The sequence below is a fragment of the Homo sapiens genome, chromosome 17 (genome assembly GCF_000001405.40).
Source record: "Homo sapiens chromosome 17, GRCh38.p14 Primary Assembly".
Lineage (NCBI taxonomy): Eukaryota > Metazoa > Chordata > Mammalia > Primates > Hominidae > Homo > Homo sapiens.
This window is the reverse complement of record NC_000017.11, coordinates 29,908,676-29,936,673: the sequence shown is the minus strand read 5'-3', so window position 1 is coordinate 29,936,673 and position 27,998 is coordinate 29,908,676. Positions and strand designations below refer to the sequence as shown.

At 40.1% G+C, this 27,998-nt stretch overlaps 2 protein-coding genes across 13 annotated transcripts in view, besides 5 other annotated features; one reads left to right on the top strand and one right to left on the bottom strand.

Annotated features, from left to right (window-relative positions):
* Positions 1 to 6,771, bottom strand: part of EFCAB5 (EF-hand calcium binding domain 5) — a 178,550-nt gene extending 171,779 nt beyond the window's left edge. For all 4 annotated transcript variants that reach the window (XM_024450742.1, XM_024450743.1, XM_047435947.1 and 1 more), the window contains exon 1: positions 6,706 to 6,771. The gene's annotated coding sequence lies outside the window, so the exon portion shown is untranslated. The remainder of the gene's footprint in view (positions 1 to 6,705) is intronic.
* Positions 3,009 to 3,303: a silencer, noted in NCBI's record as "tiled region #3195; HepG2 Repressive DNase matched - State 8:EnhW". NCBI's record gives its function as "represses a minimal TATA promoter and a strong SV40 promoter by Sharpr-MPRA in HepG2 cells {active_cell/tissue: HepG2}" and the evidence as "EXISTENCE:reporter gene assay evidence [ECO:0000049][PMID:27701403]".
* Positions 5,264 to 5,433: a silencer, noted in NCBI's record as "silent region_8391". NCBI's record gives its function as "represses an Ori minimal core promoter by ATAC-STARR-seq in GM12878 lymphoblastoid cells {active_cell/tissue: GM12878}" and the evidence as "EXISTENCE:reporter gene assay evidence [ECO:0000049][PMID:35858748]".
* Positions 6,167 to 6,256: a silencer, noted in NCBI's record as "silent region_8390". NCBI's record gives its function as "represses an Ori minimal core promoter by ATAC-STARR-seq in GM12878 lymphoblastoid cells {active_cell/tissue: GM12878}" and the evidence as "EXISTENCE:reporter gene assay evidence [ECO:0000049][PMID:35858748]".
* Positions 6,407 to 6,686: a silencer, noted in NCBI's record as "silent region_8389". NCBI's record gives its function as "represses an Ori minimal core promoter by ATAC-STARR-seq in GM12878 lymphoblastoid cells {active_cell/tissue: GM12878}" and the evidence as "EXISTENCE:reporter gene assay evidence [ECO:0000049][PMID:35858748]".
* SSH2 (slingshot protein phosphatase 2) overlaps positions 6,446 to 27,998 on the top strand; it is a 304,291-nt gene continuing 282,738 nt past the window's right edge. For 5 of the 9 annotated variants that reach the window (XM_047436968.1, NM_001282129.2, XM_047436970.1 and 2 more), the window contains exon 1: positions 6,446 to 6,736. Coding sequence is in view for 8 of the 9 variants with exons in the window: in NM_001282129.2 (NP_001269058.1) it covers positions 6,674 to 6,736 (63 nt within the window). In the remaining variant the exon portion in view is untranslated. The remainder of the gene's footprint in view (positions 6,737 to 27,998) is intronic. The other 4 variants (XM_047436967.1, XM_005258058.4, XM_047436971.1 and 1 more) reach the window with 2 other exon arrangements.
* Positions 7,197 to 7,246: a silencer, noted in NCBI's record as "silent region_8388". NCBI's record gives its function as "represses an Ori minimal core promoter by ATAC-STARR-seq in GM12878 lymphoblastoid cells {active_cell/tissue: GM12878}" and the evidence as "EXISTENCE:reporter gene assay evidence [ECO:0000049][PMID:35858748]".

Genomic DNA, 27,998 nt, shown 5'->3' with positions numbered 1-27,998 from the left:
TGCCAGTTATTAAATTATTGTCTCATCTCCAAATTCACCCATTTTTACTCTTCTTTGTTGCTAAAGCTGAGACCCTGAAAATCACATTTCTTTTGCCTTGCCAGCTGGCTTTGTTATACTGTGCTAACTGGGGGCACCAGAGGGACATCCCATACCTGAAGGGAAGACAAGAGACTTGCTCCTTCTTGTCTATCCCGATTGCTTCTTTTTTTATTATTATTATACTTTAAGTTCTAGGGTACATGTGCACAACGTGCAGGTTTGTTATGTATGTATACATGTGCCATGTTGGTGTGCTGCACCCATTAACTCATCATTTACATTAGGTATATCTCCTAATGCTATCCCTCCCCTCTCCCCCGACCCCACGACAGGCCCCAGTGTGTGATATTCCCCTTCCTGTGTCCAAGTGTTCTCATTGTTCAATTCCCACCTATGAGTGAGAACATGAGGTGTTTGGTTTTTTGTCCTTGCGATCGTTTGCTCAGAATGATGGTTTCCAGCTTCATCCATGTCCCTACAAAGGACATGAACTCATCCTTTTTTATGGCTGCATAGTATTCCATGGTGTATATGTGCCACTTTTTCCCTGACTGCTTCTTGTGGCCTTTTGGTTCCTGTGTGGTTCACCTAGTAATGCTTCTTCATCCTGGTAGCAGCATTTCCTTTTTGTAGCAACAGCTGAATCCAGTTTGTAGTAGTTTTTCTATAGTTCTATAATTTTCATTACTCTAAGGCACCACCACCAGCCAGCCAGTGCTCCTGCTTCAGAAGTCTGTGTCTCAGAACCATGGGTGCCATGAAGCCCCTCCTCTAATCTCAGAGGCACTAACACCAGCTGAGCAGCACTTTCTCTTCAGAGACCTTAGTTTTAGCTCTGTGGGGCCAATCCTCTAAATTTCTAAATTTTTCCCTTTGCTTCCTCTGTTTTTTCTTGTTTTTTGTTTGTTTGTTTTTTTTTTTCTAGCCCTTAAGGTGGGATGAATTACTCACCATTGTGATACCTCAGATTTCTCTTTTTACTTTTTTAGGTATCTACTTAACAACTTTATATCTAGTTATTAATTCTTTGTTAAAATTTCTTGGCAAATAACTGGTAGAGTTTCTGTTTTTTTGAGACAAGGTCTTGCTCTGTCACCCAGGCTGGAGTATAATGGCACAGTCATAGCTCACTGCAACCTCAACCTCCTGGGCTCAAGCAATTCTCCCACCTCAGCCCCCTAAGTAGCTAGGACTGCAGGTGTGTACCACCACACCTGGCTAATTGTGGTATTTTTTGGAGAGATGAGGTCTTACTATGCTGCCCAGGCTGCTCTCAAATTCCTAGCCTTATGCAATCCTCCTGCCTCAGCCTCCCAAAGTACTGGACTTACAGGCATGAGGCACCACACCCCACCCAAGCTGGTGTTCTTTCTGTCTCCTGTCAGGACACAGTTAAATGAAGTTAGTAAAAGTTAAAGTTTTTATAAAACTTAAGAAAAAATACAACCAAGTGAAGGCAACACATGACTCAATAATACTGCAGTTGCTCTCAGCTCTTATATATCTGTGCTATATTAATTTATACTTATAATTATGCCCAAATTGTTTCAAATATAAGGGATTGGATTATCAAGGATAGGACCATGATTTCTTGTGTCTTTTTTTTTGACTCACTTTTTTTTTGCTCTGTCTTAAGCTTAGCTATATAAGTCATAATCTTTTAAGTGAAATACTTCATTTGGTATGCAATGAATGAGTTATAGATATATTGCAAGATAGGGATCTATTCAGCCTGAGGAGTTACTTAAAATAACTGGAGTGGTTGATAAATCTAGGTAATTCACTCCTGGCAAGAAGCAGTGTGATCTAGAGATTCTCAGCAGCCCCCCAAAATCAGGGTGTGAATACCCACCCTAGTATGCCCATGGTCCCACTGGTGGACAGCACAATGAAGTTCTTGCCAAGCAAAGCCAAGGAGTATTCTACCACCAGGTCATCACTTTCACAAGACAATTGTAGTACACACTGCTGCCTATTGTAAACACTGAGCTTTGGAGGATGTTCCAGGTACCAAAAGAGCAGGACTTACAGCCTCAGATAAGGCCAGGAAATGCAGGGAGGCCTGCTAGGTACTCCTGATGAACTCAGCTTATGATCTCTCTTTTTATATATATAGCATTCTTCCTTTTGTTTATATCTGATGCGCCCTTTTAATTATGTTCAAGTTAGATGAAGAATTATTGATCTAATAACACAATCTAACTCTGCAAATTAGACCTTTATCAATATTTTGCAATAGATACTTGACACAAAAAGTGTTTGGGTAGATGGGGAAATTCCCATTGGCAAATGTAACGAGGAAATACCCTGTGATAATGTGGATATATTATCAATTATAATTTATACTTTTAAATTTTGAATTGTTGTGAAAATTGTTTAAAAGTTTTTTTATCACCTACTTGTATGAACTAAATTCTCATCAATAATGACTACCAAGAATTTGAAGACATCACTGTTAAACTGTCTCATTCAAGAACTGCAAGCCGTCATTTCAATCATAAAATCCTGTATAAAAAATGTTATGTTTACAGAAGCAATCTCAGGTTTTTCATTAAATTTTTAGACATCTTTGTTTGGAAATGTATACAAATTCAATATTTAGTGTCATCCTTAATATGTTTATTTTTGTCATTAAAAGTAAGTAATATAAAGAAACAATTTTTTTCACCAAGCCCCATGTAATTAGCTGCCTCCAAATCCCCTTTAATTTATCCCAGTGTGCTGTACAAATACTATTTCTATGGATGTCATGATGTGGAAAAAAAAGGTAGAGAACCACCCCTTTAACATTTAGATCAGGATTCTTCACCTTGGTTCCTTGATAGGTTTTAGTAGGTATGAGAAATATGCAAGTACATTTTTCTGGAGAGAAGGTCAATAGTTTTCATCAGGTTCTCAAAGCTTGAGAACCAGCTAACCTCAGAGATTTCAAGCTCCCCTATAATTTCACCCCGGAAGAAGTATTGATACAAGTTAAGGGTTAAATGGACTCCAGTGGTACAACCAGGCCTCCAGCATCGCAGGTGGGAAGAGTGAAAGTGCTCTAAGTAGAACTAGGAGGACTTTTGTCTCTTTGGCTCCCTCTTTTGGGAATCCTGCTCTTGGCCTCTCTCTCCTCAAATTCAGCTAGAATAGTAAGAGGATCCTAGGCTCTTCACTCTATTAGAAGATATCTCCTCTCTCAGTTCACCAGAAGACCTAGGAGGAACCAGGGTGGAGCCTAGGGAAATTAGGTATAAATGGGGCACAAAGCATAGATTTCATCAAATGCTTAGTGTGGTCCAGCTCCGTTCGCAAAGCGACTGTACTGGGATCTGCAGACAAAGCCTGAAAGCCAATATCATAAAGAGCACATTTGCCCAGACCTTCTCTCCTTTGTTTCTATAGAACTTTGTACGTATATAGACTTCTTCTATATTTCTACATACCTCCTTTCGCGCCTAGCCGAGGTGACAGAAGCCATGGTACCACTAAGCTACGCTCTAATTATTTGTTGATGTGTTTTCCCCTACTAATTGGCTTTGAGCCCCTAAGAGGTAGATAAACATTTGTCTTGTTCTTAAAGCAGTGTCTAGTATATGATACACATTCAATAAATATTTTCTCAATTATTAGTAAATAAATTAATGAACATGCACCAATAATTTCCAAATCTTAGTTTCCTTAAAAGGTATATACCAGGAAGAGATATTTCCCCTGAAAATTAATAAATTAACTTCCTGATACAAACAATGTGAATTTTGTCATCCCATAATTCAATTTTGATCAGGATTTTATCACCTTAGATATGTGGAACAAAAATGTTCCACACTTACCTACAGATGAAACATGTCTTGACCACTAATCTACTTCTACTATTAAGAAAAAGAATGATGGCCGGGTGCGGGGGCTCACACCTGTAATCCCAGCACTTTGTGAGGCCAAGGCAGGTGGATCATCTGGGGTCAGGAGTTCGAGACCAGCCTGACCAACATGGTGAAACCCCCATATCTACTAAAAAGACATAAAATTAGCCGGGCGTGGTGGCACATGCCTGTAATCCCAGCTACTCAGGAGGCTGAGACAGGAGAATAGCTTGAACCCGGGAGGTGGAGGTTGCAGTGAGCTGAGATGGTGCCATTGCACTCCAGCCTGGGCAACAAGAGCAAAAATCCGTGTCAAAAAAAAAAAAAAAAAAAAAAAGCCGGGCACAGTGGCTCACATCTGTAATCCTAGCACTTTGGGAGGCCGAGGTGGGCAGATCACTTGAGGACAGGAGTTCGAGACCAGCCTGGCCAATACGGTGAAACCCCGTCCCTACTAAAAATATAAAAACTAGCCGGGTGTGGTGGCGGGCCCCTGTAATCCCAGCTACTCGGGAGGCTGAGGCAGGAGAATTGCTTGAACCCGGGAGGCGGAGGTTGCAGTGAGCCGAGATTGCACCACTGCACTCCAGCCTGGGTGGCAAAGGGAGACTCCGTCTCAAAAAAAAAAAAAAAAAAAGTTATCTTAATTGCATAGAGGGCTTTATTTACAGTTTATTCTGAACTTTACCATACATTATCTCAAGAATCTTGTCAGTTAGGGTTCCATTGTAGAGATAAAGGAATTAAAGCTCAAAAAGTTCAAGCCATTTGCATAAGGTTTTAGAGCTGGAACTAGAAACCAGGTCTTCTGATTCCTATGGTAGTGCTCTTTCTCACTGCAAGGTTAATGGACTTAAGCCTTTCATCTTCCAAAAGAATTTCTGAAGAGTATGTTACCATGAAAAAGTAGAACATCATTGTTGCCCTCCCTGAGTCAGAGAATCAACATACAAGTACTAAGACCTACAGATTTGAATATTACTTTTTCTAGAATGATACTTTGGTTCATAAAGCACATATATTTCATTTATTTGAGTTCATTCAGCTTCTAGCTATGTGTATTTTTTGGCTATGTATCTAGTTTCCTCTTTGGTCTCCCATGCATTGGTTCAAAGTTCTTACTTCTGAAACTTGCCTTCTCTTTTCCTGTTTACTACGGAGCTCTGGGGAAAACACAGTCAGATTGTTTAATCTGTGAACCATACATCTTTGTTTAATTTTGTCTCACAGGCACTCCTGATCACCACCAGGGGGCAAAAGCCTACCAGCTGGCTTCTCTGCACTACACTCTACATAGGACTGTACAGTACAGGGACCCTCAGTGTCTGATTCTTGATGGAACCTCCCTGCTAATTATTTCAACCACAGGGCCCCAGGGAGAGAACAAAGGCTCAGCACAGAGGACTCTTGTGGCGTTTAACCGTACAGCAGCCAGAAAGAGCTCATGACAGCCCTGTCAGTTTAAAAGAAGCAATGAGATCCAAGAGTGTTTGAGTGACAAACAGGAGGGGGTGGGTTTTAATAACTGCAAACTCCCAAGTGTGTGTGTTTTCTACAGCTTTGATATGTACGGTGGTATTTACCAGCTCATCCACTCAAGCTGAGAAATAGCCTTGTCAACTCTCTTTCTTTGTGTAAATAATCAGTGATATTTGCATTGTGCAATTTTTTTCCTTTTTAATCTTGATTTTCCATTACATTCTTTGCTTATGTTCTGCAGACAATTTACCCCTGAGAAAACCATTCCCTTAAAATATCTTTTAATCTACATTTTTACATAGGTCTATGAAAGAATGACATTTAGAGACGAAGGAGAAGAAAGCTTAACGAGCAAATCCTGTTTAATTAAAAGACTGTCTTCACAGCAGGAGGCAAGTGAGAGGTCAATAGCAGGCTGGACCCTCACAACCGGCTTCCTCGGACTCCCAGGCGCGCTCAGCTTCTCTTCTCCTCAGGAATAATGAATAAGTCTTTAGACAGGCAATAGAGGAAGCATGAGGGTACCACAAACCTTTCCAGGGTATCAAACGGAAAATGGTTTTCTTTCCAGAAGTCTCATCATAAAACATAGACGGAAGGGGGGGAAAAGTTAAGAAAAAGCCCCCGAGAGCCGGGGTGAAGGGAGTAAACTGGTCTAGCCCAGTTCTGTCTGCGCCCAGTGAGAGGGTTTGAAACTCCGCGGAGCCCTTTCCCAATAGAAAACGTGTTTGCTTCAGGATTTTCATCTCAGCTGCTTTTTTTTAAGGTTGGTTAAGCTGTGCGCCGCCCCACCTCATAAAATGGTTGTCTCTCAGGAGTGAAGACTCCAGCGGCCCCCCGCCCTGGGACCCCTCACCGGGCTGGCTCCCTTCGGCCCCTTCCCCCACCCCACTCCACAGCACCCAGTGCTGGCAAACCGCGCGATTCCAGCACGAAGGAGGAAACCCAGGAGGGTGCGGCGGCCCGAGGCGCACGCACTCGGCCAGCTTCCGGCAACTCAAGGGTTACGACCAGGCGGCGGCGCGCGCCGAGGGGAGAGGCGGTAGCTGACAGGTGGCGCCTGCGCACTGGGAGCGCTCATTGTGCCCCGCAGCTGCGGAACCGCCCGCCCGCCGCCCGTTCGGAGCGTCAGTCGGCGACAGTCTGGTGGTGGGTGCGGAGTCTGCGGCCGTTCCCGCGGCCTCCTCCTCCTCCCCGTTCCCTTCACCCCCACCCCGCACCCCTTTCCCCATCCCGGCTCCGTCACCCTCCCGTCCCCCACACTCAGGACAAGAATGCCCTGCCCGGAACAACCCAGCAGCGCCTAGATGGCTTTGGTCACGGTCCAGCGGTCACCTACCCCCAGCACCACCTCCAGCCCCTGCGCCTCGGTGAGTCCTTCCTGGCGGCCGCTCCGCTTGCTTCTGTCACTGCGGCTCCGCTTTGCCTCAGCGGGTCCCGCCGAACGCCACTGCGCACGCGCCGCGCCGCTTCCCAGGCCTTGGCACTCGGCTGCCGCGAACCCCCCCACACCCCCATGTTAAAGACTAGCAGCAGGAACTACAAGACGTTGATTTTTGCCCCCATCACCCTGAGCACCTAGCTCCTCACAATCCTCGCCCTGAAATCCCCTGTGGCATGCCTCCCTATGGCTTGAGCACTTCCTTTTGGTAATGAGTCATTCTTGCTTTTCACCCTCCCCCTTCTTTTACCCTCTGTTGCTCTGCTGCAGGGAGGGGACCGTGAGCCTCCTGCGTTGCCCCTTACCCACACCCACATCTCTTACCCACACCATTTCATAGACCTGTTCAGTATTTGCACACTGCACACCCTTCTTCGTACTCGCCAGGGTGTGTGCCTTCCCCTAGTCACTTGCTGGCTTTCTTTTGCTCTGTACTGTTCAGGCTTTGAACTGCCCAACCGTAGTTATTCCTTGGTTTCTCCCGCCTGCCCCCCACCCCAGAGGGTAGCAATGATCTCTGTTTCCTGGACCTCTTACCTTTCCTTTATGAGGTCCCGAAGCATCTGGTGCTGCTTAGTGATCAGTGTCAAATTATTTCCGTCTTACAGATATTTATGCCTTACACTCATTGCTCGTGATCATTCTTGTTCTAAGGTCGTGTTTGTATGGCTCGTTACCTCAGATGCCTATGCCAATAAAGCATGCTCTCAGAAGGAAAATACCCAGTAACCAGCCTTTCCCCGCTGGGCCCGTCTTTGCCTTCTCTCCTCGCCCCACCCCCATTCGTTTACACTCCATTCTCTTAGGCTCCATTTTTGAAAATATTTATTTTTAAAAACAATATATTGCACCAGTGGGGCAAATGGGCTTTAAAAAACCAACATCCAGATGTTTTAGAGAGAAATAAACTGAGTGAAAATGCGAGCAACTGGGAAAACCACCTTGAACTTCCTACAGAACTGTAATTTTAAAAACGGTGTTGGTGGATTTGGTAGTATCAGGTTGCAAAAAAAGGTATTTAATAAACACTGTACCACTTTCCACTGTAAAAAAATCATCAGGTTACCCTTAATATTTGTATGTTAACTGAGGTGTGAGCTTTGATATCCTGAAATTTGCTGGCTTGTCATTTCAGTATAATTTCCTGAATTTCAAAGTTTTGTTGTGTATGGTTGTGGTTTCTTCTTTTCTGAGCTTTAATTGCATTTTGTGTGATGAAATTGACAACTATATCTTAATAAGTGATTTTATTTCAAAGGTTATATATCTTGTGTTGTTTCAGAGAGCAGAACTGGGATTCTTGGTTCAGGGAGGCAGATTTCCAGTGATTGTAAGGAAGAATTTGTAACAGTGGAGTGCACTGCCTTGCAAAATAGTGAGTGCACATTGCTGGAAATATTCAAGCAAAGGCTGGAGAACATTTTGCCTGGGAGGTGGTATAAAGAATTCCTGCAGTGGGGGACTTCTAAGACTATTTCTAATCTAAGATTTTGTGATTTGAGAATACTTGTACTTCAAAGCTGGTAAAACATTTTAGGGTCATCTGAAGACAAGTATCATAGGAATAAATCTTTAATATAATTTATTCTTATGTGTAGTACTTTATGCTAGTTTTTGGAAAGTCATTAACATACCATCAAACCTTCTTAATTCACTCCACTAGTAAACTCTTTGGTTTGTGGTTACTAGGCCTGATTTTGAAGAAATCGATTGAAAGTTAGTAGAGTCATGCAAATAAACTAGAAATCAGTACTATAGTAACATTTATTTTCCTTGGGCACTGTTGAAAATAGCTTATGCTATGATAATATATGTATATCAAGTTGTCATCATACTAATTTACTTGAAGTGAATGATTAGTATACAGTAAGACCGTGTACACTTGATATGACTTCATTAGCCAAAACTTGAGTTACTTTAGAATCTTGAGGTATGTTAATAGTCACTTTTGACATAGGTAATTAAATTGATCATGTAATAAGCTCAGTTGTTGAGCAAAATCACTAATATTTCTATATCTACTAGCCTGGTTATTTCAGTTGTTTATACTTGGCCCTGAATGCAAAGGAATCCTAAGGCTGGTGTAACAATCAGCATCATTAGTATAACTGATAAGCCAGCTTCCTTTCTCTTTAAATTGTCTTCCTATTGGACTTCATCCAGAATTGTGTTCAGCTGAGTTGTTTCGAGGTCCTTGTACTCTAGCATTTGGCTGCTGTCTGACCTCCATATATTTTGCTGTTCTATCTCTTGCTGTATGAATAGGTTGGGTTGTTTGTTTTAAAATAGAGAGCAAAAAGAACCTAGAGGACCATGAAAGAAGAGATTTAATTTTGTGAGACTGGAAATTTACATTTTTTTATTAATCACTTTAAGTACGCTGTTAATACTTTTACACTATAGGATGCAGGGCATTTTAATACTGCCAGCTCTTTAGTGTTGTTTCATTAGGCATTAAACAATATGCTAGGTGTGAGTGACCATTGTAGATACTAAGATGTATAGGAAATTGACCTGTTCATCAGGATCTTGCAATCTGGGGGGCTGGGGCATTGGAGGAAGAACAAACATAAGGTAAGAGGGAAAAGAAGAAGAAGGGGAATGATACTGTAGGTACCTGAAGAGTTTGTGATGGTCATAAGTATTGTCTGAATTCAGATTAAGATAAGTTCACTAATGGCAATGTTAATAATAAGAGTATAACAATATCTAACATTTCTTGGGTCCTCATCTATGCCAGGCATCATGTTAAGCGCTTTACATGAATTAATTCATTTACTTTACACAGTATGCCTTAGGGAAGTTGCTCTTATCCCCATCTTAAAGATGAAGCTGAGGCAGAGTTATTAAGGAATATGCGCAGTGTCATTCAGCCAGTAAGTGACTGGAGTTATAATTCAAACCCAGATGTGTCTAACTTTAGAATCTGCCATCTTTTCCTCCTTGGTGATCAAAAAGTATGCCTAATAGGTGGCTCTCGAACTAGTTCTTGAAGGATGGATTGAATTTCTATAGGCCAAGAGACAAGCTGTGAAGAAGAGAGTATTGCAAGTGAAGAGAAATTGTGTACACCAAAACTTAGAGGCAGAAAAGTACAGGGCATATCTGAAGGAATTAAATAGACCAGTTTGAGGAAGGATTTGTATGGGACAGTAGTAAGAGATAAAGGCGAGGAGGCAGCTAGGGCTGCACAGGGACTACTGAGCTTGGGAGTTTGGAGTTTGAACTTGATGGAGAAGGTAGTGGAGAGTCTGCTGAGGTTTTGAGTAGAAATGATCACAGTGGTATTTTAAGATTTTTTTTTTTTTTTTTTGAGACAAGGTCTCACTCAGCCATTCAGGCTGGAGTGCAGCAGCACAATCTCGGCTCACTGCAACCTCCACCTCTTGGGCTCAAGTGATCCTCGCACCTCAGCTTCCCCAGTAGCTGGGACTACGGGCACGCACCATCACACCTGGCTAATTTTTGTATTTTGTATTTTTTTTTTTTTTGTAGAGATGGGGTTTCGCCATGTTGCCCTGGCTGGTCTCAAACTCCTGGGCTCAAGCCGTCTGCCCACCTTGGCCTCCCAAAGTGCTGGGATTACAGGCATGAGCCACCACACCTGGCCTATTTTAAGAAAATTGATCTAGTAGATATGAGCCAGAGGGCTTTGAGAAAGAGAGAGAGGCCATGAGTGGAGCCAGTGAGAGGCTGTTCTAGAAGCCCAGGTGTGAGGTAATAAATGCCCAAACTGGGATTTTGAAGTGGTAAAGGAAAGAAAGAGACAGATGTGAGGGGTTGTGGAAAATACTTGGGAACTGATTAGATTTGCAGGGAGGGATCAGAGATGCCAACTCTTAGGATAGATATTGTTCTTCCTAGATAATAGATGTTTCCTGATTATTAGAGGGCAATATAAGAATTATCTCTGTCTCTTTTGATTCTTTCTGGTATAAATTTTCTTTTTTTAAACTTTTTTATTTTAAAAAATGTATTAACTTTTAATGGACAAAACATTTATAATATACAACATGATGCTTTGATATATGTGTACATTATGGAATAATTAAGTCAGGCTAATTAACATCTATCACTTCACCTAGTTAGCTTTTTTTGTGGTGAAAACATTTAAAATGTACTCACAGCAATTTTCTTTCTTTCCTTTATTTTTTTTTTTTTAGATGGGGTCTCACTGTAGCACAGGCTGGAGTGCAGTGGCACAGTCATAGCTCACTGCAGCCTCAAGTTCGTGGGCTCAAGTGATCCTCCTGCCTCAGCCCCCTGAGTATCTGGGACTGCCCAGCTAATTTTAATTTTTTTTCTTTGTAGAGATGGGGACTTGCTTGGGGTCTTGCTGCCCAGGCTGGTCTTGAACTCGTGGCGTCAAGGGATCCTCCTGTCTCAGCCTCCTAAAGAATTGGGATTATAGTCATGAGCCACTGTGACCGGCTACAATTTTCAAGTCTACAATATATTATTATTGACTGTAGAAACCATATTGTACAATAGCTCTTCATAACTTACTCCTCCTGTCTAATGGAAACTTTGTACCCTTTGACCATCATCTCCTCCCCATTCTCCCACCAATCCCCAATCTGGTGTGAATTTTCTGAATTGATACCTATATTGATCCAGGGTTAAATAAACAAAGTATAATACTATAATAATATTTTAGTTTTCTGTAGTGCCCTATACTTTTCAGAGTGGTTTTTGGGGTGTGTGTGTTTGTGATCTAATTTAATTCTCAAGTAGCCCCAAAAATTATGCAGGACAGGTACCACAGTTTAAAGACTTGGCTGAAAGTGACAAAACTTGTGGGTGTAATAACTGCATAGAAGTAAGTTCCTTGGCTCCTGGTTTATATCTCTTTCCATGATGTGATAAGAGAAACAGCATATGCGGTTTCTGTTCCAGAGACTTGACTGCCAGTTGAGTAAAGGTGCAAGATATGAGGCACAATCAAGAACTCACACTCTCTTTGGAGATCATTTATATTGCAACCTTGACTACCTAGAACAGAATCATCTAAGTTTGTGCAAACCATTTTAGGTGACAGCTTTGTTTGAAGCCTATTAACTCTTACTTTATACATAAATCTTATAAATGTGGATATTAAGTTTCCTTATTCTTAGATTACCAAAAGCAACATAATAATGGAAAATTACAGGTGCTGCTAAAGGCAGGTTCCCTATAGTGCTGGGAAAGGATAGCTGTTGGTTTCACCACAAGGGAAAAGGAAAAAAAAAACCCACAAGTACCTGGCATAATAAAAAAATTGAGCAATTCTTGCCTAATTAATATAGGGACAGATAGCCCTCTAGGACCCAGTAGTTCCTGAGAGCTACTATTATACGTTCCTAATGATGATTCTGAATCATCATAAGAAGGCTTACTCTTGTTTTAAATCTTGATTTAAGCGATCAGGATTGAGTGTGGTATATTTTTAGATAGATGTCCATCTAAGTTTCACCAAAGTTTTGACATTTAAGATGCACGTTCTAATTAATGGGTAAATCAATTTACATATACATTTTATTTCTTGATGCTGAATGAATATTATTGAGTTATATGTACATATGGATTAAATATAGCACACTTCTCTGCCTAGCTTGAGAAAATAAAGCCAAGGCAAATACAAAATTGATTTCTATTAAGTATAAACACAAGTGATGCTTTTCCTTATTTAGGCACCAGTGACAGAGAAAAAAAAAGTGATGCCTTTGAATTTTTTGAAGACAGCTTTAGAAATTTTCATAAACTCTAGAAATGACTATTGTAGGAAATCCAGAAATACAGAGAAGTACAGAAAAGATAAAAAAAGACATGTGCCATTTATTTTATAAAGCTGAAGTGCTGCTGTATATATAATTTCATATCTTTGTTTTTTTAGAAGTTTGGTGTCTATCACAGATGTATTGCCATATCATTTAAATCACTGCATTCAGTAGTCTTTGTTTGTTTGTTTTGGTTTGGTTTTTTGAGACAGAGTCTCAGTCTGTTGCCCAGACTGGAGTGTAGTGGCATGATCTCAGCTCACTGCAACCTCCGCCTCCTGGGTTCAAGCGATTCTGCCTTCTCAGCCTCCCAAGTAGCTGGGACTACAGACGTGCACCACCACGCCTGGCTGAAGTTACAGGCTTACAGGTGTGAGCCACCGCACCCGGCTCCATTCAGTAGTTTTAACTCATTCTAACCTTTCCATTCCATTATCGGTTGGCATTCAGTTTTTTTCCAACCCCCCTGCCCCCGGATTTTTTTTTTTTTTGAGGCAGGATCTCACTCTGTTGCCCAGGCTGGAGTGTAGTGGTGCAATCACAGCTCACTGAAGCCTTGACCTCCTGGGCTCAAGTGATCCTTCCATCTCAGCCCCACCAAAAAGCTGGGACCATAGATATGCACCACCATGCCCAGCTAAATATTTTATATTTTGGAGAAATGGGGTCTCATCCTGTTGCCCAGACTGGTCTTGAACTCCTGGGCTCAAGCAATCCTCTCACGACAGCCTCCCAAAATGCTGGGATTACAGATGTGAGTCACCACACCCAGCCCTTTTTTTTCTATTATAAATTACATTACAATGAACATCATTGGCTATAAATATTTGACTCAGTTTGGAACATTTATTAAGATTTCAAGAAATTCAATTACTAGATTATAGGGTATAAACAATTTTAAGGCCAGCCACGGTGGCTCACACCTGTAATCCCAGCACTTTGGGAGGCCAAGGTGGGCGGATCACAAGGTCAGGAGTTTGAGACCAGCCTGGCCAACATGGTGAAACCCTGTCGCTACTAAAAATACAAAAAATTAGCTGGGTGTGGCGGTACATGCCTGTCGTTCCAGCTACTTGGGAGGCTGAGGCAGGAGAATTGCTTGAACCCAGGAGGCAGAGGTTGCAGTGAGCCAAGATTGTGCCACTGCACTCCAGCCTGGGTAACAGAGCATGACTCCGTCAAAAAAACCCAATTTTTTTAAAGACTTCTGTTATATATATTTTCTAGAAAAGTTACTCCAATTAATGTTTATTCCAGCTAGCATAGTATAAGAATGCTCATTTTTCCTAACTGTATTTACACTGGATATTCTCATTTCATTTTCATTTTTGAATTGGTGTCTTGTTATTTCCCAGGCTAGCCTTGAACTCCTTGGCTCAAGCAATCCTCCCACTTCAGCCTTCTGATTAGCTGGGATTATAAGCACACACCAATGTGTCCAGCCTCATTTCATTTTTATTTTAATCACTACTAATTTTTTAGGATAAAGGGTAGTACCTAGTTGGTTTGATTTGTATTTTATTGTTAGGTCACGTATTTTTCAAATGCTTATTAGGCATTTACATTAAAGTTTTTGAAAAGATATATTTTTTGAGGTATAATCTACAAACTCTGAAATGTACCTGTTTTAATAAGTATACAATCCAATTATTTTTAATTAATTTACAGAGTTGTGCAACACTCACTTCAATCGTATTTCCTTTTTATGAGCTATTCTTTTCAGTTTGTGTACCCTCGATGTATTACAAATATTAACTATTATATTTGTTACAAACTATTTGCTTTTTAATTCAGTTTGTATTATTCTTAGAATAAAGTCTATAATTTGAATTGCTAGTGAGACCTTAAATGATCCAGCCTTGCTTACCTCTTCAGCCCTGTCTCTTCCCAAGTCCCTGCCTTGCACACTGCTCACAGTTAAGCTGACATGCCCATGCTCCCTTTGGTCTTTAGGCTTTTGCACATGCTGTTTCCTTTACCTGGAACACTTTTCCCTCATCTCTCTACCTAACTATTTCCTACTCATCCTTCAGGTCTCAGCTTAAATGTCACTTCTTCTGGGAAGCTTCCCTGACTCCACCCCCTCAGATCATGGTAGGTGCTCCTTCTACGCACAGCATAGCACCCTATACTTACCCATGGTGGCTCTTATCTTTCTACTGTACTTGTTTTATTACTTATCTCCCCCACTAACCTATAAGTCAGGGACTGGGTCATTTACATATTTTTGTATTATCAGAGCTCAAAAGTATTTGACGCATGGGGCTGGGCGCGGTGGCTCACTACTGTAATCCCAGCACTTTGGGAGGTTGAGGCAGGCAGATCACCTGAGGTCGGGAGTTTGAGACCAGCCTACTAAATATACAAAAATTAGCCAGATGCGGTGGTGGATGCCTGTAATCCCAGCTACTCCTACTGAGGCAGGAGAATCGCTTGAACCCGGGAGGCAGAGGTTGCAGTGAGCCAAGACCTCGCCATAGCACTCCAGCCTGGGCAATAAGAATGAAACTCCCTCTTAAAAAAAAAAAGTATTTGACACATGGATCAATGGATGATCAACAGATATAGTCATATTTAGCAATCTTCTATTTTGAGTTCTTCTACTGTTTTTAAGCATAGACAGATATCTTGAGAAGCCCAAAGGATATGATCACTTTTAAGACTTTTGATACATGTTGCCAAATTATCCAGCAGAAAGGTTGAATCAATCTTTGTTTACAAGCATTGTATAAAAATGTTTAAGTGTAGTCTCACAGCCTTAAGTAGCATCATCATCATAGGGATATTTATTGAACACTTACTGTATACTAGACACTGTGTTGAGTACCTTTTGTGCCTCATGTTGCTTAATTTTCACATCACTCCTGTGGCGTAAGCATTGTTATTCTCTTGATTTTACCAAGAAAATACAGACTCAGATAAGTGAAGTGAATTGTCCAGGATTATAGGCCTGGTGTCTGACCTCACAACCCCTTCTCTTAATCACTAGTATTTTATTGTTGTTTTAATTTACATTTTTAAAAATTAGAGGCTAAACATTTTTTCAAATATTTACTATTATATGTTTTATTATATATTCCTTGTTTTGTAAATCGTTCATGTTCTTTGCCCAGCTTTCTTCATGGCTATTTACTTTTTCATATTGATGTGTAAGTATTCTTTATATACTAAGAATATTAACCTTTTTCTGTTATGTTGCAAATTTTCCTCTGGTTTTTCATTTGCCATTTTGTTTTGTTTATTTCATTCATTTGTATATACAGACATTTACAAAATTTTAATGCCATCAATCCAGTCTTGTGTGTGGGTTTTTAAAATTATTTTTCTTAGTTCACTTTTCCGTCAATAAGGATAGAAATATTCTACTTATTGAAAAAATTTAGACCTATATGTTTTAAAGCTATTTATAGTATTATTTTTATATCTTTTAATTGTCTGAAATTAATTTTACTACATGATGTGAAGTAAGGATTATGTTTATTTTATTCCAAATAGCAGCTTTTCTTAGTTCATTATATGAAACAGTCACTCCTTTTTTCCAATGGTGTGGAACTCCTCCTTGGGAAGTACTAAATTCCCAAATACTTAATTCAGGTATAAGGTGTTCCATAGAAGTTCCATTGCAAGTCTCATAGGAATTTAGTTAGTTTAGCATATATTACTTAGTATTTATTAAATTGCATGCATAGAAAATAAACTTTAAACTAGCTTACATTTTGAATTTTCACTCAAGTACCTGGGAAGCCCAGAAAAAGAGAAGGCCTTTGGTCCTCAAAAAGTATCTTCAGGTTTCTCATCTTTCCTATCCGGCTTTAAGTGAGAGGGAGCAGTTTCTAGATTATGCTCACGCTGAAAAAGACACTGTGCAGCACTGCCTTCCTAGGTTTCACCATTAAATATCACTCCTGATAGCTGGGCGCGGTGGCTCATGCCTGTAATCCCAGCACTTTGGGAGGCTGAGGTGGGCAGATAAGGTCGGCAGTTCGAGACCAGCCTGACCAACATGGAGAAACCCTGTCTCTACTAACAATACAAAATTAGCTGAGTGTGGTGGCGCATGCCTGTAATCCCAGCTACTCGGGAGGCTGAGGCAGAATGGTTTGAACCTGGGAGGCGGAGGTTGTGGTGAGCTGAGATCACGCCATTGCACTCCAGCCTGGGCAACAAGAGGGAAACTCCGTCTCAGAAAATAAATAAATAAATAAATCACTCCTGGTTTCAGCAGCTTAAGATTTACTGTTTTTCCATTAAATGCCTGCTGTAGTGTTGTCTGCAGCAGTGCCTAGCCTTTTGAAGCTATTCACATGTCCATGTTTTATGTTTATTTGTTAATCCATTAAAAAAAAAAAACACCTAGCTGTAGTTTTTCCATTCAGTAAACCTAGTAGTAGGGAAAGTATTTCCAATTAAAAAAAAAAAAAGTGTAATTCTTGATGAGCCCCTTTGCCCAACCTGAAATATGCCAGAGGCTGGATGTACATGAGTAAAACCTTAAGAATCTTGTTAATCAGAAGTATTTAGTGAGTGCTATTTTGTGCAGGTGATCTCATACATTCCCTTCCTTTGTTTCTCAGCACTGAGTTCTCTTCAGATACCTTTATAAACTACCCTGCATTTTCTTGCCCATCTGAGCAGCAAAGCTACTGATCACAGTGCCCCTCATTTTCCTCTCAAGGTAAAGTCTGGTGAGGTACTCGTGGCTCTGAAATGTAATGAAAGGTCCCATGGTTCCCTAGACTTCCTGAAAGATAGAGGGAAGTACTTCATTTATTGAGTGGGAAAGGATGTGCTTAGAAACAGATGGGGAGAGATAATACTCTGTTCCAGCTTAGTTTTTATGGAACTGTTTGATTTAATTTTCTGAAAAACTTATTTAGTACCTTTTTTGTGTCTGAGACATATTTATTTACTTACTCATTTATACCACTGCTGGGAATCCAGCAGCCAGTTAGTCTCTAACCTCAGGAAGCTTACAGTAGAAGTAGAAAGATTGATATTAAATAGGTCAGTAGATTACAGTGTAGTTGTCACAAATACATAAGCCTTGAGAAAGAGGAAGAAGGCCAGCAAGGACTTATAACTTGAGCCTTGAAGAGTGAGTGGGAATTGGTCAGCAAACAGAGGGTTAGGGGTGAGTGGCAGGAGGGAAAGCAGCATTCTTTTTTTTTTTTTATTTGAGACGGTCTCGTTCTGTCGCTCAGGCTGGAGTGCAGTGGCACGATCTTGGCTCACTGCAACCTCCGCCTCCCGGGTTCAAGTGATTCTTCTGCCTCAGCCTCCCGAGTAGCTGGGACTACAGGCACAGGCCACCACACCTGGCTAATTTTTGTATTTTTAGTAGAGATAGGGTTTCGCCATGTTGGCCAAGCTGGTCTTGAACTCCTGACCTCAAGTGATCTGCCCACCTCAGCCTCCCAAAGTGTTGGGATTACAGGCGTGAGCCACAGTGCCCAGTCAAAAGAAACATTATTAAGCAAGAACTTAAGGCACAGGGCTACAAATAGCATGATATATGCTGGGAACCACAGGCAGTACAGTGCTGATGCCATGTAAAGTGCAGAAAATAAGGCTGGAGAAGTAAAGATAATTTCTTCTGAATTTTAACATCTGCACCCTTATTTTTACCTTGAATACAGTTGGCTTTTCTTTAAAGTGACTGTGCAAATTTGTGATTGTAGACACTGGGTTCAGCACTAAATAGGCATCACAATAACCATTGGAAGTAGTACTATTATTGTTCTCAATTTACAGATGAAGAAACTGAGTCTCAGGGAGGTGTCTAGACTCCCCCAGCTAGAAATGGCAGAGCTGGGATTTGAACTTTGTCAGAGTCAGAAAGCAACTACTAAATTCCACCCCCCTGCCCTTAGGTGTTACCTTCTCAGTGTCAATCAAAGTACTGTTTGATTGATTGATTGATTATTTGAGACAGGATCTCCATCTGTCACCCAGCCTGGAATGCAGTGGTACAAACACAGCTCACTCCAGCCTCAACCTCCTGGGCTCAAGTGGGATTCTTCTGCCTCAGCCTCCTATGTACCTGGGATCACAGATGCTCACGCCACCATGCCCAGCTAATTTTTTTTATTTTTTGTAGAGATGGGGATCTCACTTTGTTGCCTAGGCTGGTCTCAAACTCATGGGCTCAAGCAGTCCTCCCACCTCAGCCTCCCAAAGTGCCGGGATTACAGGCATGAGCCATATGCACCTGGCCTGATTTAGTCTATTTTTAAAATTTATTTATTTATTTATTTTTGAGATGGAATCTTGCTCTGTCGCCCAGGCTGGAGTGCAGTGGCGCAATCTCGGCTCACTGCAACCTCCGCTTCCTGAGTTCAAGTGATTCTTCTGCCTCAGCCTCCCGAGTAGCTGGTATTACAGGCATCCGCCACCATGCCTTGCTAATTTTTTGTATTTTTCAGTAGAGATGGGGTTTCACCATGTTAGCCAGGATGGGATTTATTCTATTTTTTAATCATTTAGTTTTAGATTTGCCCTGCCATAGTTTGAATCATTGCAATTTGTGTCATTTTGCTGCTCCTGCCTTAGTACTTGATATGAAGGCAGTTCAGCAGAAGTTTGTTGAGAGCCTTCTCAAACACTGAGGGATGATATAAGGCATTACCTTTGCCTTCAAATTTACAAGACTGGTGGGGAAGGCAGCTATAAACTAAGCATGTTTAATTGCCTCGTATGGTGAGCAGTGGGAAAGGCACAAACCAAATGTGTACATGTGAAGAAAACATCAGTTCCAAAGGGGATAATGGTCAGGGAATTTGGAAAAAACTAAATTGGAAAAGATGGAAGAGCAAAATATCTTTGCAGTTAGCAAAATGAGATAAATTTTTTCCTTCTAGATATTAATTCCTTTCAGTTTCATTTATAATTAGAAGCCAGTTTTTTTTTCTACTGAATGATTATTATAAGATACTGTTATCTAAGACATGGCAGCCAGATTTGAAACTTCTATGTTTGGAAAGTGTGTGTTTGTGGGTATTTGCCCCTCACCTATTCTTTGCTCTCCCACCTCTGTACTTTTCCTCACTTAAAGAAAAAGGGAAAAACCTGACAAACCCTTTTTTTTTTTTTTTACTGCTACAGACAGATCAGGAAATGTAAGAAATTATATTTATTGAAGTTAAAGAAGACACCTCCATGCAGCTTGCTGATTGGAGCAGTGATTCTCCTATTGTTCCATCAGACACAAATAGAAACAGTAGGAATTTGAGATAGCCTTTTCTTCATAATTACAATATTTAGCACATCTCAGGCAAGTATTAGGATAAACCACGTGTTAGCATCTTGTAGTACATTATCTTAATCTATTAAGGAAGCTCATTGATTCTTTGGAGTTTGATAAAGTGATTGTGATTTAGAATAAAAATGTTACCTGCCAGTTATCCTAACATAAACCTTATGAGGGTGGAGAAGCCCTAAAAGTATTTTTATTTCTCTCCTTAGGACTTCAAAAATACCTATAACATTAGCTGGGCATGGTGGTGCACGCCTGTTATCCCAGCTACTCTGGAGGCTGAGGCACGAGTATCACTTGAGCCTGGGAGGCCAAGGTTGCAGTGAGTCACGCCACTGCACTCCAGCCTGGGTGACAGAGCAAGACTCTGTCTCAAAAAAAAAAAAAAAGAAAGAAAAAAAAAATCTTTAACAACATGATGCAGTGGCAGTACAGGGTCTGGAAAACTGTCTGCTTAAATTTGAATCCTGAGTTTATAATTTGCTAGACTTAGACAAGTCACTTAACTGCTCTATGCTTTGGTTTGCCCACCTGTAAAATAGGGGCAATATGGTACTTCTTTCACAAAAATATTGTTAGTGTTAAGCCAGGGAGTGCATTAGCACCATGCCTGGCACCAAATAAACATGTATTCACAAAGTATTAGTCATTTTTATAATGATGGTGATTTAGGGTTGCTATTTGGTTATTAAGCAATTTTTTCATTATAACAAATTTGGTGGGGAAGTTATTTTTTTTATGACAATGTAATTCACATGGAAAGCCTATTTCAGAGTTTAATTTCTCTTTATCGCTTTTTAAATTTTTGTTATTTCATGAGAACACTTGGACACAGAAAGGGGAACATCACACACTGGGGCATGTTGTGGGGTGGGGGGAGGGGGGAGGGATAGCATTAGGAGATATACCTAATGTAAATGACGAGTTAATGGGTGCAGCACACCAACATGGCACATGTATACATATGTAACAAACCTGCACATTGTGCACATGTACCCTAGAACTTAAAGTATAATAAAAATATATATATAAAAAATTTAAAAAAATAAATTTTTGTTATTTCATAATGGCTTCATTTTTTTTTAATTAGAGAATCTTTGTTTTAGTTGCCAATTTCCACAGCAAAGTCTTTTGTGTTTGATTTTGTGATGACCCTGGAGCACCATACAGAATGATTAATCCAACTGTAATCTTTAAAATTCTTCTTCCCTTGAAAGTTTATCAATTTAATAGGCTATGCTTAGCAGCATATTAATCCATTGACTGTTTTTCAATATAGTGGGACAGATCGTTGCAAGTGGTCACTTTAGTTTGTATAGTCAAATCATAGAATGAATGTGTTGGTATTTTTAGTGATTGAGACTATAAATCATGTGGCAAAATAGAAATTGCCAGATTTTTTTTAAAATATGGAGATCCAAAGACACTGAGTGTATTCATGGGTTTAAATATATCTTTGTAAAGGGAAACAATAGGTGAGAAGAATGATCTGTCTAATCCAGCTATTACGAGCAGTTGGCAGTTGAAATTGAATGCTGCTCTTAGATGCATTTCCAAAGCAACTGAATGTGCTTTTTCTATAAGTGTCTGAAGCAACAATAGGAGAACATGTGAATGAACTCACATATAATATAACAAGAGATCTTTGGTTCAAGCTTTGGTTGCTTTAAGATTACAGTTTTTATTGAATCCTATCAAAAAATAGAAACAACCTATTTCTTCTTTGAGTACTGAAAAAAATGACACTGAGTTTTCTGTGAACATAATATGCTAATTTGTCTTCTTGACCTGTCTATACAAACTGAAACTTTCACAACTCTGAGCATTTTTATGCTGATTCCATGGTTTTCTATTAAATTTTAAAGGAAACTGTATTGACTGTAAAGGAAGTTTGGTTAGGTAAAACAGATCATTTGTAACTGTTTATGGTTGCAAATATATATTTGTCAAATATATATTTCTCTCGTGTTATTTTATGAGAAGTTGTATACAGTACACCTTAGATTGAAAGTGGCATGACCATCTTGGTAATGGTAATGAAGTCATGTGTAATGAAGTATATTTGAAGATAGAACTGTTGTTTGTTGTTATCTACAGCTACCATTAAAGCTATTAAAATTCTTTTTAGATAGAGATGCAATGAACTTTTACATTGGACATTTGCATCCTCATTTAATGCTCATTGGGCACAGTTGAATGATTTTAAAATAATTGGCTCTTCATTTAAATTATTAATGTTTGTTTGAAGAACTGACAAGAAATACTCTTTGGGGTTTTTTGTTTGTTTTTTTTTTTTTTTTCAGACAGGGTCTCTCTCTGTCACCCAGGCTGGAGTGCAGTGGTATGATCATAGCTCACCTCAACCCCCTGGGCTCAAGCCATCCTACCACCTCAGCCTGCCAAATAGCTGGGACTACAGGTGCGTACCACCACACCTGCCTACTTTTTTTATTATTATTTTTTTAGAGACATGGTCTCGCTGTGTTGCCCAGGTTGGTCTCAAACTCCTGGCTTAAGCAATTCTCCTGCCTTGTACTCCCAAAGTGTTGGGATTACAGGTGTGAGCCACCACACCTGGCCAGAAATAGTCTTTTGGCAGTCGAGATAGGTGTGTCATTTCTTGAAACTGCTTGTAGTGAAAGTCAAGCAGTTTATCCTAAATGACAGTCTCCTTGAAATGTCTCAGAACATCACCTCAACTGTGACTTGTAAGGTCTGCTTTGTATATAAGATATAAGATATACACTTGTAAGATAGCTTTGGATACAGGAATCCTAAACCCTTCACTAGGACTGTGCAGTGGTGGTACAAGCTTACTTTGCTACTGAGACTACCAAATGACAACCTTATTTTCTTGCTTGGGGGATTTTAGATGCTGTGGTTTTATATTGCCTTGCCACTTCTATGTAAGAAATATAGGAAGCTGGCCGGGAGCGGTGGCTCATGCCTGTAATTCCAGCACTTTGGGAGGCTGAGGCGGGCGGATCACCTGAGGTCGGGAGTTCAAGACCAGCCTGACCAACGTGGAGAAATCCCGTCTCTACTAAAAATACAAAATTAGGCCGGCGTGGTGGTGCTTGCCTGTAATCCCAGCTACTCAGGAGGCTGAGGCAGGAGAATCACTTGAACCCAGGAGGCAGAGGTTGCGGTGAGCCGAGATTGCGCCATTGTACTCCAGCCTGGGCAATAGGAATGAAACTCCGTCTCAAAAAAAAAAGAAAAAAGAAAGAAATATAGGAAGCTTCTTGGACTCTTTATTATTGGAATCTTGGGATTTATTCATAAATATTGCTTCCTAGGGGTTCACAGAATTTCATAACTGGAAAATTGACTACTTTAATTGCCCATTTTACTGTTAAATAATTGCCAGAGTTTGGCTCCAAGAATAAAGGTCAGAACAGCTTACCTCTTGGGCAGTTTCAGGAGAGCTTTTGCTAGTGTAAAAGCCCTTTACTACATCTTTAGTAGAAATTGGATATATATATATATATATATATATATATATATATATTTTTTTTTTTTTTTTTTTTTTTTTTTTTTTGAGATGGCGTCTCGCTCTGTCGCCCAGGCTGGAGTGCAGTGCCGTGATCTTGGCTCACTGCAACCTCCACCTCCCAGGTTCAAGCGATTGTCGTGCCTCAGCCTCCCAAGTGGCTGGGATTACAGATGTGTGCCACCACACCCGGCTAATTTTTGTATTTTTAGTAGAGATGGATTTTCATCATGTTGGCCAGGCTGGTCTCAAACTCCCGACCTTAGGTGATCCGTCTGCCTCAGCCTCCCAAAGTGCTGGGATTACAGGCCTGAGCCACTGTGCCTGGCTGGAGATTTTTTTTTAATGCTAGGTGTTCAGGTGGCCACTTGGGTTCTAGACCAGACTTAGATTGAGATATAGGAAGTTGTACATTTAAGTGTGGCTATAAGATTTGGCAGATGACATACATTAGTGAAGCTGGCCAAATAGGATCTGTGGTAAGTAGGAGACTATGAGCTCTGTCTTCAGAGGCTGCCAGTGTGACTCTGTGTAGACCCAGTATTGCCAGAAAAGTCTTATATCTCGAGAAACATTAGTAATTAGCAGATTATATGAAATCTTTTGATATTTTTTGGTGGGAGGGGTGGACTTTAGAGACAGGATCTCACTCTGTCTCCCAGGCTGGGGTGTAGTGGCAAGATCGTAGCTCACTACAGCCTTCAACTCCTGGGCTCAAGCAATCTGCCCACCTTAGCCTCCTGAGTAGTAGTTAGGACTATAGTTGCATACCATCATACCCAGCTATTTTTTCTTAGTTTTTGTAGAGATGAGGTCTCACTATATTGTCCAGGGTGGTCTCAAACTCCTGGCTTCAAGCCATTCTCCCACCTCAGGCTCTCGAAGTGCTGAAATTACAGGTGTGAGCCACTCTGCCTGTCTGAAATCCTCTGATTTTTAAATGTTGGCAACTGAATTGGCTGGAAATTATTTTGATTGTAAGTAACAGAAGACCAAATTTAAACAGTAGGAATATGGTTTATCTAACAATAAATTTGAAGATACATATAGTCTAGGACTAACTTAGCTCAGCAATACCATAAAGATCTAAGTTGTTTATATCTTCCTGTTTTGCCATTAATAGTGTATTTGATTCCCATCTTTCTGCTTTTTTCCACATAAAAGATGGCTATTGTAGCTCTGGCAGTACATCCATATTTGTTGCAGAAAGGGGTAAAAGGTACAGTGCCAGCAGTGGCTGTACCATTCATTAGGAAGCAAAAATTTTCCCAGAAACCAACTGCTCATTCCCAGTAGCTTTCTCTTTAAGTCTCCTACCAGAACTAGGTTACATGGCCTACTCTAGTTGCAATAGAGCCTGGGAAAGTAAGTATATGGCTTTCCATTTTAATCATTGAGTGACAGCAAGGGATAAGAATGTTTGGAATAGCTATTGTCACACTTTGTATAACAACTAATACAGATTTAAAGAACTATATCTTGAAGGCTAAACAGAACATATCTGAGGCCCAGATTTAACTAGTGAGTCACCAATGTGTAGACACTATAAACAATATATTTTCCTTCCATTTCATTACTCTACTACTGATTCTTAGCTTCTATCAGTCATTTTATTATATGGCCAAGGAAGTTGAAATTAGAAAGCTTGAGTTTAAGTCCTGGTATAGAGACTTGTTAGCAGTGTTTTTTGGGGGTAAGTTTGCTTGATCTTTCTGAGCCTCCCATTTCTTATCTGGAAAATTGATATATAACATTGCAATATAGCATAGTAATTAAGTGCAGAGGTTTTGGAATCAGAACAACCTAAGTTGGAATCCTGTCTCTGCCAAGCAAGTTGCATAACCTCTCTTGGTGTTTCCGTCTCTGTAGAATGGGGCTTATAGTTGTATACTACCTCACGTAGTCATTTATGAGGGCCAAGTGTGATACAGTGAAGTCCCACCTTAGGATTCTAAAGTGAGCATATAGGGCAAAAATCAAATACAGTAAAAATTATCCTTAAAAAATCTCTTAAATCCCTCACAAAGAACAAAGTAAATGGTTTTGGGCATACAACTCTGTAACTGAGACTGTCTGAGGGGCACAGTTTCTTCCATCTCATGCTTACTTTGTTACCTACACTTGTTGAGTGGAATGGCAGGTAAGATCATGTGCACTAAAATATAACTTACATTTTTATTCATGTTTATTTTCTACCCAGCGCATATTCAGCTTAGCATAGCACCTAGCCCTTTTAAGCCTTCAATAAATGGTAACTGTTACTGTTACCATAGGTGTAGCATGTGATATTTGAGGATGAAGAAATGGAGGTTGTCCAGGGCTTCAACAGCATGGATCAATGATGATTTTTTTTCTGCCACATCAGCCAAGATTTTTAAGACATGAATATGGCCAAGGGAATAATGTCACCATTTCAGAGATAAGGATATAGAATTATCAATTATATTTCAAGGGAAAATGCTAACATAACTGCTTCCAAGTTTATGGGCCAAAATTAACACAATCCCATACAAATAATAAGCAAATTTTATTTTTTTTCAGTTTGAATTGTGAAGTATATCATTCACACAAATGAATATTTTGATTTCAAAAGCAAAAAATAATGCTTTGTTTTAAGTTGATGATGTAAAGATTTCAAAAGACAAAGTGGTATTAAGTAGAATGCAAGATGTCAGGAAACCTTAATGATAAAATTCATCTGGGAGTCATTCATCAAGGATGTTAACCATTTTCATCCAAAGCTTATGCAACCATAAACAGTTACAAATGATCTGTTTTACAGTGTTGACACATATGTCTAAGAAGATCTTATACTATTGACAAAAAGTATTATGTATATAATGATATAATCTTTGTACACTTACTCTCTGAATAAATGTGTATTTGTTATTTTGGGAATTCAGTTGCTTGGGTCAGATTGTGGTGCTCAAATTAATGAATCATATGTAGAGTAAGGCATAAATATTGCCTAGGTATCTGCAGCATTGCCATACAGGAAGACAAATAGGGCCTTCCTTTTCTTAAAGGAAATTTTTTTTTATAGGTTACAATGGGCAGGGGTGTACCCTCTGAACATTTTTCTTGAGGATCCAACATTTAAAAGTAAGAATAACAGTGAGCTGGGCATGGTGGCTCAAGCCTGTAATCCCAGCACTTTAGGAGGCCAAGGTGAGAGGAGGATTGCTTCAGGCCAGGAATTTGAAACCAGCCTGGGCAACATAGCAAGACTTCGTCTCTACAAAAAATAAAAAAATTAACCAATTGTGGTGGCACACACCTGTAGTCCCAGCTACTTGGGAGGCTGAAGCAGGAGGACTACTTGAGTCCAAGAGGTTGAGGCTGCAGTTAGCTGTGATCATGCCAGTGCACTCCACCCTAGGTGACAGAGTGAGACCCCGTTTCTAAAAACAACAACAATAACAACAACAATGATAGAATAAAACTCTAAGAATAGTAATATGCTTTTGTTCAAGTGCTGTCAGGTGCTGACTTTACTGAAAATAAAGTCGTACTTGTACCTTATCACTTGTTGCTAGGTATAAGACTGTCTTGTTTCTAACAAAGGAGGAAAATCTTGTTTTAAGGTGACTCATACAGTGATGTGGTAGGTTGGTAATGGGGTGGTTTTTTTGCTCAGTGTAAGCACTGGAAATAACAAATACTGGTAACTTTTTCATATAATTTAACTCTTATATTTGGGAATTCCTAAGAATCTGTGTGTACAACCTGGTTCCATGATAGTCTTAATAGTAAGAAAACAGCTAAATTTCACTACTATGTGATCATGGAAATTTAAGGTATGGCATTTATAACGTCTGAGTTATAATTAGCTTATGCTTTTTCAAGTCTTTAAATATTGAGCAGTCTCCCTTACCTGTGATAATTTTTCTTTTACTGCCCCTTGAGACTCATTCATCTGTGATTGGATGATTTATTCATTTAAAGTTAATTAAGTTCAGCTACTGAGCCTTATTTTTTTTTTAATCTTACCGTGGTTATAGAACTAGGTCTCGTGGAAACTTGATTTTGGCATTTTTATAGCTATACAAGCATTGCCATGATACCCGGAAATATTGTTTGTTAGTAAAAAGGGGGACAGGTCTAGTTAATTGGAAAGATACATAGAAATTTATTCTCCTAGTTATATATCTTTAGAGATTTTTCTAATTTCCTATAAGAGAAGTCATGTTAAAACTTAAACCCAAGCTATTTTTACAGTAGGATAGAGTATAGTTTTTAATAATAAATCCTTTAAAGCTAAGGTTTGGAGAAATTTTTTTTTTTCCTTTGAGACGGAGTCTTGCTCTGTCACCCAGGCTGGAGTGCAGTGGCACGATCTCGGCTCACTGCAAGCTCCACCTCCCGGCTTCACACCATTCTCCTGCCTCAGCCTCCCAAGTAGCTGGGACTACAGGCACCCGCCACCACGCCTGGGTAATTTTTTTATTTTTAGTAGAGATGGGGTTTCACCGTGTTAGCCAGGATGGTCTCGATCTCCTGACCTCATGACCCACCCGCCTTGGCCTCTCAAATTGCTGGGATTACAGGCGTGAGCCACCACTCCCGGCCAATTTTTTTTTTTTTTTTTTTTTTTTTTTTTTTCAGATGGAGTCTTGCTCTGTTGCCCAAACTGGAGTGCAGTGGCGTGATTTCAGCTCACTGCAACCTCCGCCTCCCAGGTTCAAGCAGT